Genomic DNA, 17974 nt, shown 5'->3' with positions numbered 1-17974 from the left:
AAAACCTGTCTCTACAAAAAATACAAAAATTACCCAGGCGTGGTGGCATGCGCCTCTAGACCCAGCTACTTGGGAGGCTGGGGTGGGAAGATTGCTTGAGCCTGGGAGGCAGATGGAGGTTGCAGTGAGCTAAGATCGTGCCACTGCACTCCAGCCTGGGTGACAGAGCGAGACCTTATCTCACAAAAAAAAATCCCAAACAAACATCGGTGGCAAAAAGCTTGACGTTCTTGGCCAGGCACTGTGGCTCGCACCTATAATCCCAGCACTTTGGGAGGCCAAGGTGGGCAGATCATGAGGTCAAGAGATTGAGACCATTTTGGACAACATGGGGAAACCCCGTCTCTACTAAAAATACAAAAATTAGCTAGGTGTGGTAGGGCGCCTGTAGTCCCAGCTACTCGGGGGGCTGAGGCAGGAGAATCACTTGAACTTGGGAGGCAGAGGTTGCAGTGAGCCAAGATCGCGCCACTGCACTCCAGCCTGGCGACAGTGTGAGACTCCCTCAAATAAATAAATTAATTAATTAAAAATAAGCTTGATGTTCTTTTCTTGAAATACCTCTTCACATCTTGGCTTGCTATCTTAATTATTTGAATTCTCAGTCTTGTTTCATAAAAATCTATATAGCTCATAAATAGTTGAATTTTAAAAACATTACAAAATATTTAGAACTATGAAGTACAGTAAGTATGTACTACTCTATGTCTGAGTGCTATTTTACTAGTATAGCTAAGTTACAGAGCTTCACCCTTTAAATATCACTACCTCAAAAGCCCTAAATTCTACAATTGCCCTAGCAGCTTTGAGAGATAGTATTAGTGTTGCCAGGATCACTAACAGGTAAAGATTTCTTGGGAGTGGAAAATGGACAAGCCCAATGAGTTAACTACATTCTTGCATTATGGATCAGGTCTCCAGTTTTGTTTTTTTTTTTTTTGTAAATCCCTTTTATCTCTAGTCCTCTCTTCAACCACAGGTAAATATTAAACAATGTTTTATGTGTATTATTTGTATAAATTCATGTAAAATATATATTTTATTTTGTGCAAGTGTCTTTAATTATGTAAAACTTCTTACTTGTGTCTTTGGTTTGGTACTTTGTTTTGATCCACCCATGCTGCTGTGCAACATGGTCTGCTGCTTCCAGCTCTCATGTATTTCATCCTCTGTGGTGTGCACCCTCCCTATTTTACCTTCCATCTTTTGCTCACAGTAGAGGACATTCAGATTTCTTCCAATTCCCCACCATCACAAACATCCACTTAAGGACCTGCTTGAGAATTTCTTTGGGGATAAATATCCAGAAACAGAATTGCTAGGTTCCAGGGTATGTAAACAAGTCCTATCAGACTGCTCACAATGGCAGCACCAGACAATCCACCCACCAGCTCCTCTGTCCCCACAACACTGGGCAATATTTGACATTTTAACTAGTATAATGTGATGTTCTCAGTGTTGTTTGAGCAATTCTCCACAGGTCTATTAGTCTTTTGAGATTCCTTTTCTATTATCAGTCTGTTCTTTCCCTTGGCCACACTTCTGTTGAAGTTCGAGTCTTCTTATTAACTTACAGGAGATCTTTGTACATTTTAGACATTAGTCCATCAGTTTTTTTTTTAATTTTTTTAAAAGTATTTTTAAAATTAAAATTTTTCTAAACATTTTTATCTTATTATTTATGTATTTACTTATTTTTTAATAGAGATAGGGTCTCACTCTGTCACCCAGGATGGAATGCAGTGGCGAGATCTCTTTTCACTGTAGTCTCAACCTCCTGAGCTCAAGTGATCATCACACCTCAGCTTTCCAAGTAGCTGGGACTACAGGCCCACACCATCACACCCAGCTAATTTTTATATTTTTTGTAGAGACAAGGTCTCGTCATGTTGCCCAGGCTGGTCTTGAACTCCTGGAGTCAAGCCATCCACTCACCTCAGCCTCCTAAAGTGCTGGGATTACAGGTATGAGTCACAATGCCCAGCCAGTCCATGAGTTTTAGATGTCACAAACTTCCTCTCCCAATGTCACTGGTCTGTTACCTTTAACCAGGGTAGGCCTTTGCTAAACATAAATGCTTACTTTTTATGTAATCAAAAAACTCTTTTTTTTGTTTTAAGGCTAATGTTAAGGGGTTTATTTTAGAAGTCCTTTTCCAACTCTAGATCACAAAGATATTTTCTTAATATTTGTTTTCTATCAAACTGAAAGTCTTACCTTTCCCACGTAAATTATGAATCTATCTGGATTCTAACTTTGTATGTGGAATTAGAGAACAATCCATTTTGTTTTTTTCCTTCAAATAGTAAACAGTTTTCTATCACAGACTGAAACAATCTATCCTCTCCTCCCTTGATTTTCGGTACCATCTTTGCAATATCAATCGTTTATACAATCACAAGTCTATCTCTATTCTGCTCCACTGGTCCGCTGGTCTGTTATTTTACCAATACCACATTGTTTTTATTATTATGGTTTTGTATTCCCCCTTATCCAATAGGGGAGAAGCTCACACTTTACTATTCTTATTTAAGGTTGTGAATCTTGGTGAAATCAAATGAATTTTAGATTGGCGTTACATTGAATTTACAGATTAAAGAGAAATTGCGTCTTTTTTTTTTTTTTTTGAGATGGAGTCTCACTCTGTCACCCAGGCTAGAGTGCAGTGGCGTGATTTCGGCTCACTGCAACCTCCGCCTCCCAGGTTCAAGCAGTTCTCCTGCCTCAGCCTCTCAAGTAGCTGGCATTACAGGGGTGCGCCACCATGCCCAGCTAATTTTTTGTATTTTTAGTAGTGACAGGGTTTCACCATGCTGGCCAGGCTGGTCTTGAACTCCTGACCTCGTTGATCTGCCCACCTCTGCCTCCCAAAGTGCTGGGATTACAAGTGTGAGCCACCACGCCTGGCTGAGAAGTGGCGTCTTTTTAATAAGTCATTCCGTCCAAGAGCATGGACTGTTTCTATTTTCATATCATCTTCTGTTTCATTTATTAGTTTAAAAGTGGTTTTCATAGAAGAAATATATATTTCTGGTTAGTTCCTACACTCTAGTTTTTGTTGCTATTGAGAACATCTTATTTTTACTTTTATTTTCTAGTTGGTACTGCTAGTGTAGAGACATTCTCTTGATCTGTGTTTATCTTGAATCATAACACCCCAGTGAACTCTTATTATTTGTTTCTCTGTTAATTCTGTTATATTTCTAGTATATGAGCATATTATCTACAAACAATGACACTGTTATCTCTTTCTTTGCAACTTTTCTTTTTTCTCTTCTTACATCATTGGTTATGATCTCTGGTATTTGACAGAACACAGTGATGAGATTAGGCATGCTGGTCTTAATCCTAGTTTTTAAATGAAATGCATCTGAAATTTCTCCAGTAAGTAAAGTGGTTTCCCTAGGTCTTAGTATATTACTTTTAACACATTAAGGAAGTTCCGTTCTATTCCTTGTTTGCTAAGATGTTTCTAAAAATTGTAATAAACTTCAAATATTTTTCCACATTAACTGAGATATCCTTTTTCCATTGTATTATTACATTAGTGAATTACAATAGATTTTCTGTGTCTAATATGGACATTCCTGAGATAAACTTGCTTATGATGTATCATTTTATTTTCTTTAATATCCTACTAGACCTCATACACTAATATTTAATATTTTATTAAGTATCTACATTCATACCTACATTCATCAACAATATTAGCCTATAGTTTTCCTTTCTTGTATTGTCTTTATCTGGTTTTGCAGTTCTTCCTGTTTCTTGCTTCTCTTATTGGGCAGATAAGAGAATATTTTTATTCTATAAATAGTAAGTAGTAATACATGTTAGAATGTTAGCTATCTCCTAATATTAACCTTTTTTGGAATAAATTAGGAGATGACTTTGTAACATGTAATAAAAAGAACAAAACCAGACAAAGAACTCTGAGTACTAACTAGCATTGCATACTATCTGAGAAGTCTTTTCATTCTGGCATTTAATTTGCCTAAATTTAATTACACCATCTTTCCTTGAAGAATCCAAGATACAGGCACAAGAATGTAACTCACCTGTTTAAGGCCAATAGCTAATTATTGGAGGAACTAGAAGCCAATCCTTCTGAAACCTAGCCCTAGCATTCCTACAAAAATGTATGCTAACAAATCCTAAATCTACTACCTCTAATTTGGTTGGTGATGGGTATATTCCATTTCAAGATAAAAGTAAATCAAATGTTTCTTTCTCACATACAATATACCCAAAAACCATGCTAAGTACTATAATGAATAGAAAATTTCAATTAAAAATATTTAATAAATATTTATTTTGCTAGGCAAGAATCTGTAATATCCAAGGCTCTATCTGTCCTTGAAACACCCCAGTGTAACCCACAGATCTATCTTCCATGGAATTTAACAACTCACCTTTCCCACAAGCTGTACAATTTCTGCCAGGTCTTCTTCTTCCTGCAGAATTTCCTTAGCTTTCGTCCTCAGAGGAACGAACTCTGTGAAGTGTTTGTCATAGTATTCATCCAAGGCACGCATATACTTGCTGTAGCTGATGAGCCAATTGACAGAGGGGAAATGCTTACGTTGAGCTAGTTTCTTATCTAAGCCCCAGAACACCTGATTAAAAAAAACACACACACAAAAACAGTAATTTTTCTCAAAAAACAAAGTTAAAAAATACCGAAGCATGTTTGTCCCAACTATGCAATTCTTTTTTTTTTGTTTTTGAGACAGAGGCTTGCTCTGTCACCCAGGCTGGAGTGCAGTGGCATGATCTCGGCTCACTACAACCTCCACCTCATGGGTTCAAACAATTCTCCTGACTCAGCCTCACCAGTAGCTGGGATTACAAGCATGCGCCATCAGGCCCGGCTAATTTTTGTACTTTTAGTAGAGATGGGGTTTCACCATGTTGGCTAGGCTTGTCTCGAACTCCTGACCTCATGTGATCCCTGGCCTCCCAAAGTGCTGGAATTACAGGCATGAGCCACCATGCCTGACCCCTAAATATGCAATTCTACAATTCACTGGTCAAATTATACATCGTTTTAGTATATACTAAGTAAAATTAAAACAGAATAAAACTTGCAGAAAATGACAATAATCTATTTCCTTTCATTTTCCAAGTGCATAATACCTACAAATCGAATTTAAAATTTACCTCTATTTTCTTAATACTGTGCCAAATCCAAAAGCAAAAAGAAAAATTAATTTACTCTTTTGAAAATTATTATGGTACAATAGAACCAGAAAAGGTTTATGTAGATCGAATACACACTTTACTTTGATTAAAAACCTCTAACTGGCCAGGCATGGTGGCTCACGCCTGTAATCCTAGCACTCTGGGAGGCTGAGGCAGGTGGATCACCTGAGGTCAGGAGTTCGAGACCAGCCTGGCCAACATGGCAAAACCCTGTCTGTACTAAAATACAAAAATTATCCGGGCGTGGTGGTGGCGCATGCCTGTAATGCCAGCTTACTTGGGAGGCTGAGGAGGAAGAATTGCTTGAACCCGGAAGATGAAGGTTGCAGTGAGCTGAGATCACGCCACTGCACTCCAGCCTGCATGATGGGGGTGAGATTCCATCTCAAAAAAAAAAAAATTTTTTTTTTAACTGTTCTGGGCCAGGCATGGTGGCTCACGCTTGTAATCCCTGCACTTTGGGAGGCTGAGGCGGGTGGATCACCTGAGGTCAGGAGTTCAAGACCAGCCTGGCCAACATAGTGAAATATTGTCTCTATTAAAAACACAAAAAATTAGCCAGGTGTGGTGGCGGGTGCCTATAATCCCACCTACTTGGGAGGCTGAGGCAGGAGAATCACTTGAACCCGGGAGGTGGAGGTTGCAGTGAGCTAAGTTTGTGCCATTGCACTCCAGCCTGGGCAACAAGAGTGAAACTCCGTATCAAAACAAACAAAACAAAAACATCTAAGTGTTTTGATTAAATTTAGTTGCCTATCATTCACAGGGCCAATCCAACAACAACTGACAGTGATTTTTGTAAGGGCAAACATTCACAGATATTCCATGCATTTCTAACTCTGTTCCCTCTTTCCCCATAATTTAAAACTCAAAATTTTAGCAAACGTTAAAAAGCTTGAGAGTTGTACATTTAGCCTCTGACATTTCCTTTTCTCTGATACTGTCAGAAACACAAGTAAATATTCTGTTTTTCCCACATGAATAATATACACATATCACTTTTTTTTTTTAACTATAGCTCTGATTTGTACACATCTTTTATTTGGGCTTCTTTTAATAGCCAAGCTGGCTACCTATCCACTAAAATTCATGTCTTGTCACTGGAAAGCAAATGCTTAGGCAGAAACTGCATTTTCCAGCCTTGCTTTCACCTGGATGTGGCTAATAGAATGAGTGGAGTGACTGTGTCACTTTTGAATCCAAGGTTCAAAAAAGGTGGGTATGCCTTCTCCACAAGGCCCAGCTCCCTTGTGTCAGCTAGATGCAGATGATCACCAGGCTAGGTGACAGTGGAGTCACAAGATGGAAAGAATCCTGGACTCAGAATTATCACTAAACAGAAGAGAGCCTTGGATCATACTGTGAAGTGAAATAACTTCTGGGTATTACACATTTTTGGGCCTCTTTGTTTCTATAACTAGGGTTACTATGACTTAAAGGATAATACTACTCTAATACTAATAAAATTTTTGCTACCTATATTTTCCACTTATATATTATTAAGTTTATTATAAATCCTATGTAAACAGCTAAGAAAAAAACAGACAGTATTAAAGGCTCTGTGTTAAGAGTGTTTCTAAACCAGACTTTACCATTGCCTATCCTTTAGAGACTAAATTAAATACTTCACAACGATTACATTAGATCGCATTAGAACAGCAGGGGCTGCAGAGAGGAGGAAAGGCTCAGAAGTTGACTATACTAGGGAAAGACATACCTGAACGATACCAAGAGTGGCAGATGTAACTGGATCAGAAAAATCACCACCAGGTGGAGAAACTCTAAATTTAAAAAAAATATGGTCATTACAAAAAAAATGGTCATTAGAAATGCTTATGAAAAATAACATATATATAAATGTTAACTTTTTTTAAAGTCGATTTTAATGTAAATAACTTTTTAATGTAAATAACTTTAGAAATGACCTTTGGAAAGAAAATCTTACCTAAAAATCTTAAACAAAAGCCAGTATTTAAGTTGTAAACAACAATAGAAACTACAGAACACCTTCTATTATGAGACATGAGATAGATATTTTATTATAATCAATTTTATTATTCTAATCAAATAGATGAAGCAAGGAGGAAACGCTCTAAGAAAAAAGTATGGCTTTATGTAGTGATCACGAATCTTCACTTTCTTTTTACCGTGATGCAATCTCACCTTATTATGTCTATAATTTTCTAAATTATAAAAATTAAATAAATATCTAAATTAAACATATAAATATATAAATTAAAGTCAAACCTATGGAACCAGGACATGTAGAAATTGCCTAAACATGTGCATCTTCAAAGAGCTCCTTAGGTGACTCTGGAGTGCAACCCTCCTTAAGAACCGCTGCTCCCAGCGGGAGCTAAATATTCTCTCTTTAAAATAAGTGACTTTTTTTCTCTCTTTAATACATCTGTGACTTTTTTCCTTTTGCAAAGTAAATAGTGTGGGTGCTTACGCTCCTACAATGCTGACACTCCCTTCTCTTTCAGGATTTCCAAGACATTTCACCCTGCCTGCTCGTTCATAAAACGAGGCCAGACGGGCACCAAGATAGGCTGGATATCCACTATCTGAAAAATGAAAAGAAATTTTAAAACAGAGTTTCTAAGCCAGCCCCGAAAATCCCATCAGTCTTGTTTACATGATAAGCAATACACAGACTTACCTGCAGGCATTTCAGCTAAACGACCAGAGATTTCTCTAAGGGCCTCAGCCCATCTAGAGGTAGAGTCAGCCATCATACTGACATGATAGCCCATGTCACGGAAGTACTCTGACAGTGTGATTCCTAAATTGGGAAGAATATTATTATAAGTTACAATGCTAGCATATAAAAATCCTGTTTTTTTCCACCCTTAAGAAAACCTTAAAGCAATAAGTACACAACGTAGACTGCTAGTGGCTCCCTCAAAGCTGCTCTTCCTCTTTTTCTGGGCACACACTGAATTGTTTCCTAGCATCCTGTGCACTTAGATATGGCCATGTAACTGATCTCTGGCTAACAAAACTCAAGTCAAAATAATGTGTTCTACGGTCAGGCAAGTCACACGCTCTTCCATACTCTTTCTTCCTTCTGGCCTACTGAAATGGAAAGAACTCCCAGTAGTCTTGGAAGCCATGTGTTGAAAATGGTAGAGCTCATTTCAGGCTGGATCATGGCTCAGAATGACAGAGTAAAGAGTGCCCTGAACACTTGAAATAAACATCTATTATATTGAGCAAATATATATTTGGAATTATTTGATGCCATAGCCTAGCTGGCCCTAATATAATGCACATTTTAGAAAGCAGGAAATGACTTTCTCTATTCTTTGTTGAAATAATTAAGTCTGAAATTAATTTTCAAATGTAGCTTCTCTCTATATATCACATACACACACACAAACATGTATGCATGCAAAAGTAACCCTTAACCAATCAGCTTGGGTGGTTACTTTTCAAAAGTAGCAAATGTTATTAAAATGAGTAATATCTTAATTGTCCAGATTATTCTGCTATGCAGATCAGGTCCTATCCTGTAAATTTAGACAGTAAACCACTTATAAGCAGCTAATATACAGAAACGAGTGTTGGGTTCTAGTTCCTATTCTGTCATTAACCTTAGCAAAATAACTTGATTTCCCAGTGTGGCTTCCTAACCTATTAAAAATGGAATAACGCCTGCCCTATATACTTGTATATATGGCAGATGAAGTGAATTAAATAAATGTCATCTAAAAAGTACAAAGCGCTATGAAACACTAAGATATTAGGAAAAATATATAGTTATATTATAAAAGTTCCAAAAGATTTTGGAACTTTTATAATGCCTTGGTTTTTTTATTTTACTGGTAAAGAAACAGAGGTTTATATAAGTAAAATTAACATAATTAGTGGAAAATTCAGTACTTTCCTATTTATCATATTGCATCTTTCAGAATAAAAAATACTGACTGTTCAGGCATCCATAAAATGGTCTCATGAAGAAAGTCTTTAGGAAACATTACTTATCAATATTAAGGCTTCAACAACACAATAATTACCACATATTCCAATCTAATAAGAACAGATTCTTTCTTATACAAGCATGCTGTGTTTTAAATCTGTGATGAAATGTCACAGATACTTGTGATATTAGAAAGAAATGGCAGAAAAGACAGATACATATGAGTAAGTGAGAATTCTCTGACAGACCTACAGGTATCAGTGCCTACAAGAAAAATATGCCTCAGACAAAATCAAGAGATAAACAAGCTGGGACATATTTGCAACTCATGACAGATAAAGGACGAATTTATTCATTAATCAAAGAGTTTCTGGCCAGGCGCGGTGGCTCAAGCCTGTAATCCCAGCACTTTGGGAGGCCAAGGTGGGCAGATCCCCCGAGGTCAGGAGTTCGAGACCAGCCTGGCCAACATGGTGAAACCCCATCTCTACTAAAAATACAAAAATTAGCCAGGTGTGGTGGTGGTGCATGCCTGTAATCCCAGCTACTCGGGAGGCTGAGGTTGTAGAACTGCTTGAATCCAGGAGGCAGAGGCTGCAGTGAGCCAAGATCGCACCACTGCATTCCAGCCTGGGTGACTGAGTGAGACTTTGTCTCAAAACCAACAAACAAACAAAAAAAAACAACAAAAAACCAAAAAGAGTTTCTAGAAATCAGTATGAAAAACAACTATCATCCAAAAGGAAAATGAACACAAGGCAGTTTTTAAATGGTTCATACACACAAGAAAGATGCTAGTTCATTGTTAAATACAGATTGAACAGGTATCTAATAAAGCAAGAATAGTTAAAATTTCAATTGTCAAATCTAAGTGCTGGGTACATGGTATTCACTGTAACATTCTTTCAACTTTTCCGTATCTTTGATAATTATCATAAGAACGTGTTGAAAAAACTAGCATTGGTGAAGATGTTGAGAAGCAGAAACTCTTGTCCACAGTTAGCCCTTTTGAAGGGCTATCAGAATGTAAAATAATAATTAGCAGCTGTATTGGCAGGAATTTTGCTTCTAAGAAATTACCCTAAGAAATGTACAAAGAGGCCAAGCATGGTGGTTCATGCCTATAATCCCAGGACTTTGGGAGGCCAAGGCAGGAGGATCTCTTGAGGCTAGAAGTTGCCCATCCTGGGCAACATAGTGAGACCCCCATCTCTACAGAAAATAAAAAAATTAGCCAGGCATGGTGGCTCATGTCTGTAGCCTCAGCTACTTGGGAGGCTGAGATGAGAGGATCCCTTGAGACCAGGAGGTCAAAGCTGCAGTGAGCCATGAACATGCCACTGCACTTCAGCCTGGGTGATAGAGCAAGACCCTGTCTCTAAGGAAAAAAAAAACATGCAAAGAAACATGCATGCAAAACATACAAAGAATAGTGTAAAAATATATGTTTAAGGATGTTTTAGTGCTGCCTATCGTAAACGACGATAAAGAATCCAATAGTCCACCAAAAAGATGCCAGTTAAATTGATTATGATATATCCATACAAAGGGATACTGTGCAGCCATTTAAAAGAATAAGGTAGCTTTCTTAAAATGGTAGATGAATATGTCACTGTCTCTTCCTCATAAAACTTACCTCCAAACAAGGAGAACAAGAAATACAGAAATACAAATTTAGTCATTAAAAACTAGGAGACATAGTCCCACAACAATATAATTTAAAAAGTCACCTAAATAAGGTGAAAACCAAATAAGGGTATGGAAAAATGCCAAGAATTCATCTGAGGCCATGCATCTCAGATAAAGCTTCTGCAAACTTGAAGGCACATCTTCAAGTGCCTTGTTTGTTTCCAAACAAAGCAAGAGTGCTTTGTTTGGAACACTGCAAAAAGCTACATGGCCAGTCGCAGGAAGGAGTTCCTTGTACTCAGTTTGGCATCAAAGAGAAGCAGGAAGATAGGGATGAATAAAACACAAGTAGGTACTCCCTATTTTCACTAAATGAAAAGTGGGTGAGACAGAGGAGAATTCACTGTGAATGGTCTTACAGCTGCTGATTTCTGGTATCAGGCAAGAAGAGTAAAATAGCTTTTTTACACAGCTGCATGCCATAATAAACTTCACAAGTTACCATGAAGAATTCCTGCTACCCTGGTACACAGTCACAGCCAGCCCTCTCATCTCCTACAAAGATGAGTAATAGTAATAATAAATATCAGTACAGGATATCTAAACAAAAATAAAATAAGGAAAAAGACAGAAGAGAAGAATACAATGATGGTCAAATAACTTGTCAAAGAATAAATGAAAACTGTGACCACAGTTAAAAAAAAAAAAAAACCCTAATAATGCAGCCTACTACAAAATAAAATCTCAAGGCATATGGAGTAAGATAAGAAGAGATACTTGATGAGCTGAAAGAACAAAAAGAAATAGAAGTGAAGGTTTCATTAGAAGCAACACAAAGAATAAATACCATTTATCCTGTGAACAGACACAAGGCTAAATAAAAAGGAGTAGAGAGGAAATGATGCACATGGAAAATAGATAACAAAAACCTAACATGTCTAGTTGGTATATTTGAAGAAGACAGCCATAATGAAAAAGTTTCAGATGCAATTTTCTAAATTTTTCCAAAATAAAAGACATATTTCATAGATGAAAAGGGCACATTATGTATCCAGAAAAATTTAATGAAACTATCAATATTGGAATATATCTTAATAAAGTTAAGAGACTTCAAATTTAAAGAGAAAGTCCTTTGGGAAAAGAGAAAAATCACCTACAAAAGGAAAAAAAGAGGCCAGCTTCAGCTTTTAATGTCCCCAGCATTTAATACTAGTTCTCACAGAAAGAAATATTGATCAAGAATTTTATACTCAGCCAAACTACTATTAAAGTTTAAAGGCAGTAGAAAAAAAATAAATTTATGAAGAAACAAGAATTCAGAGAACACAGTTGCCATAAGTCTTCTTGAAGAAACTTCCAAAAGTCAAATCTTAGCCAATCAAGAAATGGAGAAATTATAGCCAAGGGACTGTTGGTGAGCATTAACTCCATTTTAATGTAGGTCTACAGCTAATTCAAATATTGGCTTTATGGCTACAGAATAGAATGTAAGTTTTATAAATCCTGAAAATGTAGAAATAAAAGCTGGGATGGAAACGGAACCAAAGATGAAAGGTCATTAACACATGAATTGTCTTATCTTTTATATCCCCAGACAAAATATATTAATTCAAAGCTGATAATTCAAGTTACAAAGGTACAAGTATATTTAAAACTAGATCAATGATAAAACATGTAGTGAAAAAAGGTAGTATAAGATCATTTTACAGTCATTAAAAAGATTGAGACAGCTCTATAAATGTCTTACATTCACTTATTCTGAAGACATAGTAAGTAAATTTTTTTTTTTTTTTTTTTTTTTTTGAGACAGAGTCTTGCTCTGTCGCTCAGGCTGGAGTGCAGTGGCGCGATCTCGGCTCGCTGCAACCTCTGCCTCCCGGATTCAAGCAATTCTCCTGTCTCAGCCTCCCGGATTCAAGCAATTCTCCTGTCTCAGCCTCCCGAGTAGCTGGGATTAAAGGTGGCTGCCACCACGCCCAGCCAATTTTTTGTATTTTTAGTAGAGACAGGGTTTCACCATGTTGGCCAGGCTGGTCTCGAACTCCTGACCTCAAGTGATCTGCCGGCCTGGGCCTCCCAAAGTACTGGGACCACAGGCGTGAGTCACCATTCCCGGCCAAGTAAAATATTTTTTAAAAGCTAGGAATGTGCTTATATGTACAGAGATATTTTAGAATGAAAGTAAAAAGCTCTTTAGAAAAGTTTGGTGCTAGCTTTACACTTAAGAACAGATGTTAACTGCTTTTATTCCAATTATATACTCACCAGTATAAATAGAGGCTTCTCTAGCAGCAACAGGCATATTGGAGGTATTGGCTACCAAAGCTGTCCTCTTCATAATTGACTCTACCTTACCATCAACCTCCATTGTGAGCTAGAGGTAAAATATATATTAGTGAATCTCCAATTTCTAAGGTAACATTTTAGCCCTCCCTATTTTTCTTTTTTTTTTTAAACTTTTGCCCATATTTAATGCCTCTTACAATCAGTGTTCCTAAAGTAATATTCCCCACCACTCCAACCTCTCTTCTCTGCTCCACGGTGCTATGAAGAAGATAGACATTATTTCAATTTCATAAATAAAATAAATATTTTATGAAAAAAGAAATACTACTATAATAATCTAGATCATAAATCACACATAAAGTTCACATCTATAAATGTTTTATTTCTTTATTTCATCTTTCTCTCAATAAGTAAAAACCACCAGACCATAAAAAGAAACTTTCAAGTGTTTGGCTTAAGAATTAAAATTCCTGGCCAGGCACGGTGGCTCATGCCTATAATCCCAGCAATTTGGGAGGCTGAAGTGGGTCGATTATTGGAGGTCAGGAGTTCAAAACCAGCCTGGCCAACATGGTGGAAACCCCGTCTCTACTAAAAATACAAAATCAGCTGGGCGTGGTGGCATGCACCTGTAATCCCAGCTACTCAGGAGGCTGAGGAAGGAGAATCGCTTGAACCTGGGAGGTGGAGGTTGCAGTGAGCTGAGATGGTGTCACTGCACTCCAGCCTGGGCAAAAAGAGTGAAACTCCATCACACACACACAAAAAATTAAAATTCCTTTTCTTGAATATACAGATTAATTACAAATATAATTTTAAAATTCCTTAAAGATCCTTGACGAATGACAGCATTGCTCCAGACCCAACACAAAGCTTTATTAATTGTCAATGAACACTGATGAGTGGTATTTTCTCTAGGATATTATTTGAAGCTTTATACAGACCTCTGGGAAGTCCCGGAGGACTTCAGACATCTCATTTCCTCTTTCACCACATCCTACATAGATGATTACATCACTGTTAGAATACTTGGATAGAGACTGTGATATCACTGTCTTTCCACAGCCAAAGGCTCCAGGGATAGCAGTAGTTCCTCCCTGGACACACCTAAACAAAGAAAACAAAGTATGGATTACTTGACTTGCTAATAGATATTAATAAATAAAGTAGGGGCCGGGCGCGGTGGCTCACGCCTGTAATCCCAGCAGCACTTGTGGGGGCCGAAGCGGGTGGATCATCTGAAGTGAGGAGTTCGAGACCAGACTGGCCAACATGGTGAAACCCCACCTCTACTAAAATTACAAAAAAAAAAAGAAAAATTAGCCGGGCATGTGGTGGGTGCCTGTAATCCCAGCTACTCTGGAGGCTGGGACAGGAGAATTGCTTGAACCTGAGAGGTGGAGGTTGCAATGAGCCGAGATCGCGCCTTTGCACTACAGCCTGGGTGACGAGCAAAAAACTCCATCTCAAAAAAAATAAAAATAAATAAAAATAAAAATAAAGTAGGTAAGGAACACAAAAACACAAGTTAAAGAAAGAAAAAGCACTATGAAATATATTCAATAAACTGGAGAAGAGGGATATATGAAAAGAATAAGATAAAATAAGGCTAGGCACAGACGCTTATGCCTGTAATCCCAATGCTTTGGGAGACTGAGGTGGGAGGACCGCCTGAGCCCAAGACCAGCCTGGGCAAAAGAGCAAGACCCTGTCTCTATAAAAATATTTAGAAATTAGAAGGGCATGGTGGTGCATGCCCATGGCCTAGCTATTCAGAAGGCTGGGGCAGGAGGATAACTGGAGTCCTGGAGTTTGAGGTTACAGTGAACTATGATCTAGCCATTGCATTCCAGCCTGGGTCACAGAATGATAACCTATCTCTTAAAAAGCGAGAGACAGAGAGAGAAAGAGAGAGAGATAGGAGACGGTTTACGCTTTTTAAGCAGTCGTAGAAAATGGAAAGAGCAGACAACAAATTAAGAAAGATTGCTGGGCAGCAGAGAAAGCCCAGTTGATTTTATTTAGGTCAGTGCAAAAATAATGATATCGGTTTTTGCCATTACTTTTAATAGAAATCATCAATTTATGGTGACATAAATCTACTATTTTTTTAAAATTATACCACAATTCTTTATTTTTAAAAAGTTACACATGCAAATAAATTAAATACATCCTTTATGCTGGGAGATCTATTCCTGTGCATGCTTTTGGTTTATTGAGTGACATAATAAATTGCTTGGTAATAATTTATACTTGAATCATTTGAACTTTGTACATCACAAAATCAGTTTACCGTAAAATTATATAATTGGTTACAGAGAGGCTTAAGCCAAAAATAGACATCAGTTGAAAGCTACAGATATTGGAGTATTTACTTCTTTGCCATGAAACAGGGCATTTTCCCCCTGCTTTGTCATCTGAATTATTTAATAATTTTAAATCTAGAAGTAGATCCAGCATCAAACTTAAAGTTAGGTATTCATGTTGCTTGCTTCTCAGTTTGATTTATCCCAGGCATGGAGTTTGGGACTAAACTGATCCCCTGGATCCCGTGATGACTACAGAGATTTCCTTCACCAAAAATCAGATTAAAGCCTTGTTTCTGCAGAGCTATGAGTACACTACAGCACTTAGAAGCACATTCTGTACTATTTTCTTTCCCTCTTCCAAATGTTATCCCAGTTATTTGGGTGGGGCTTCTGTCTTGGTTCCCAGTCTAGAATAACTTAAGAAACATGGTGGCCGGGTGCAATGGCTCACGCCTGTAATCCTAGTACTTTGGGAGGCCAAGGCAGGTGGATCACTTGAGCTCAGAAGTTTGAGATCAGCCTAGGCAACATAGTCAAACCCGGTCTCTACCAAAAATACAAAAAATTAGCCAGGTGTGGTGGTGCATGCCTGTGGTCCCAGCTACTCAGGAGGGTGAGGCAGGAGGAGGATTGCTTGAGCTGGGAGGCAGAGGTTGCAGTGAGCTGAGATCATGCCACTGCACTCTAGCCTGGGCGACAGAGTGAGATCCTGTCTCAATTAAAAAAAAAAAAAAGAAGAAGAAGAAGAAACAGAGTTACATTGTTTTGGTACAGATTTTCTTCAGAAAATTTAATTTTTCCAGAAAAGTTTCAGAAATAATGCTTTCTGTGGGCAACCATGAAAAAAGTAAATGTTTTGGTACAGATTTTCTTCAGCAAATTTAATTTTTCCAGAAAAGTTTCAGAAATAATGCTTTCTGGGGGCAACCATGAAAAAAGTAAATCTTCAATGGTTTGAATTTATAATAAGTGCTAGCAATAGATAAAAATATTTAATTCACCATTATTACTCTAGATAAAATGTATTATAGTGTTAAACACATAAGCCCTTTATCTATAAAGATAATAAAAACATAAGCACATATAATAACTCTGAGGGAAAATCGTGGGACACATCTCAAACTTACGGAAAAAGGGCATCAAGGACTCTCTGGCCAGTCAACAGAGGATGATTGGCTGGCAGCTTCTCAGTGACAGGTCGAACTTGACGTACAGGCCATACTTGCACCATGGTGAACTTCTCCTTTACACCTTCAAATTCAAGCTCCAAGACAACATCCTATAGAAATACAGTAGGATTTTAGTATGGTCAAATTTGTGAACATTTCTTCCTTCAAAATCAAAGTAACCCGATTCTCCTTGGGGTTAGGAAGGTGATACATGTAAGTGCAAAGGGAGATTTATACTTTTTATTATAATTAATTATATATAGTCTTAGCTTTTTTTTTTTTTTAACCTGGTGCATTTATTACTTTTTTAATAATTACAAACAAAATTTCTGAGTTAGAAAGGAGTATATCAGACTTGTGACTGTAATCCCAGCTTCTCAGAAAACTGAGGCAGGAGGATTGCTTAAGCCCAGTAGTTCCAGCACCCCAGGCAACATAGTGACACCCCATCTCCTAAAACAAAAAAAAAAAAAAAAAGAAAGAAAGAAGTATATTAAGCAACAAAGAAATAGTTAAATATAAGTAAAGGCCTGTAATCCCAGCTACTTGAAAGGCTGAGGCAGGAGAATCGCTTGAACCCAGGAGGCAGAGGATGCAGTGAGCCGAGATCGCGCCACTGCACTCTAGCCTGGTGACAGAGCAAGAGTCCATCTCAAAAAAAAAAAATTAACTGGGCATGGTGGCATGTGCCCGTGGTCCCAGGTACTTGGGAGGCTGAGGTGATAGAACTGCTTGAGCCCAGCAGGTTGAGGCTACAGTGAGCTATGATTGCACCACTGCACTCCAGTCTGGGCAACACAGCAAGACCCTGTCTCAAAAAAAAAAAAAAAAAAAAGAAAAGAAAAAAAGAGAATTCAAATAATCCATTATATAATAATAATACTAATTATTTTTATTTTTTTGAGATGGAGTCTCGCTCTGTCACCCAGGCTGGAGTGCAATGGCACGATCTCAGCTCACTGCAACCTCCGCCTCCTAGGTTCAGGCGATTCTCCTGCCTCAGCCTTTCAACTAGCTGGGATTACAGGCGTGCGCCACCACGCCTGGCTAATTTTTGTATTTTTAGTAGAGACAGGGTTTCACCATGTTGGTCAGGCTGGTCTCGATCTCCTGACCTTGTGCTCTGCCCATCTCGCCCTCCCAAAGTGTTGGGATTACAGGCGTGAGCCTACATGCCCGGTCCCATTATATAATTACTATGTGAATATTGATACACCATTAAAATCAAAGTCTATTCTATGCCTAAACAACTAGGGCTTTAAATAAATGTAGCATCAGTTAATATGGTAGAAAACTGTTACATTTCTTTAAAAAGAAATACTATGTTCTGCTTTTTCATCCCTAAATCCAAGTTAAAAATAAACAAACAAAAACTTTCAAAAATTATAGGAGTTACTCAAAACTTATGTATTAAATATCAATTCTTTAATTACTTAGGGCACTAAAACTGGGCAGCT

General features: G+C 37.7%; 1 protein-coding gene across 3 annotated transcripts in view; it reads right to left on the bottom strand.

Annotated features, from left to right (window-relative positions):
- Positions 1-17974, bottom strand: part of ATP6V1A (ATPase H+ transporting V1 subunit A) — a 65022-nt gene that overhangs the window by 9198 nt on the left and 37850 nt on the right. For all 3 annotated transcript variants that reach the window (XM_047448306.1, NM_001690.4, XM_047448305.1), the window contains 7 exons: positions 16476-16627; positions 13984-14146; positions 13019-13127; positions 7865-7987; positions 7655-7769; positions 6920-6983; positions 4413-4616 (listed from right to left, as the gene is read on the bottom strand). In XM_047448306.1, the coding sequence (XP_047304262.1) occupies positions 4413-4616; positions 6920-6983; positions 7655-7769; positions 7865-7987; positions 13019-13127; positions 13984-14146; positions 16476-16627 (930 nt within the window). The remainder of the gene's footprint in view (positions 1-4412; positions 4617-6919; positions 6984-7654; positions 7770-7864; positions 7988-13018; positions 13128-13983; positions 14147-16475; positions 16628-17974) is intronic.

The sequence above is a fragment of the Homo sapiens genome, chromosome 3 (assembly GCF_000001405.40).
Source record: "Homo sapiens chromosome 3, GRCh38.p14 Primary Assembly".
NCBI lineage: Eukaryota > Metazoa > Chordata > Mammalia > Primates > Hominidae > Homo > Homo sapiens.
This window is presented reverse-complemented; position numbering and strand designations above follow the sequence as displayed.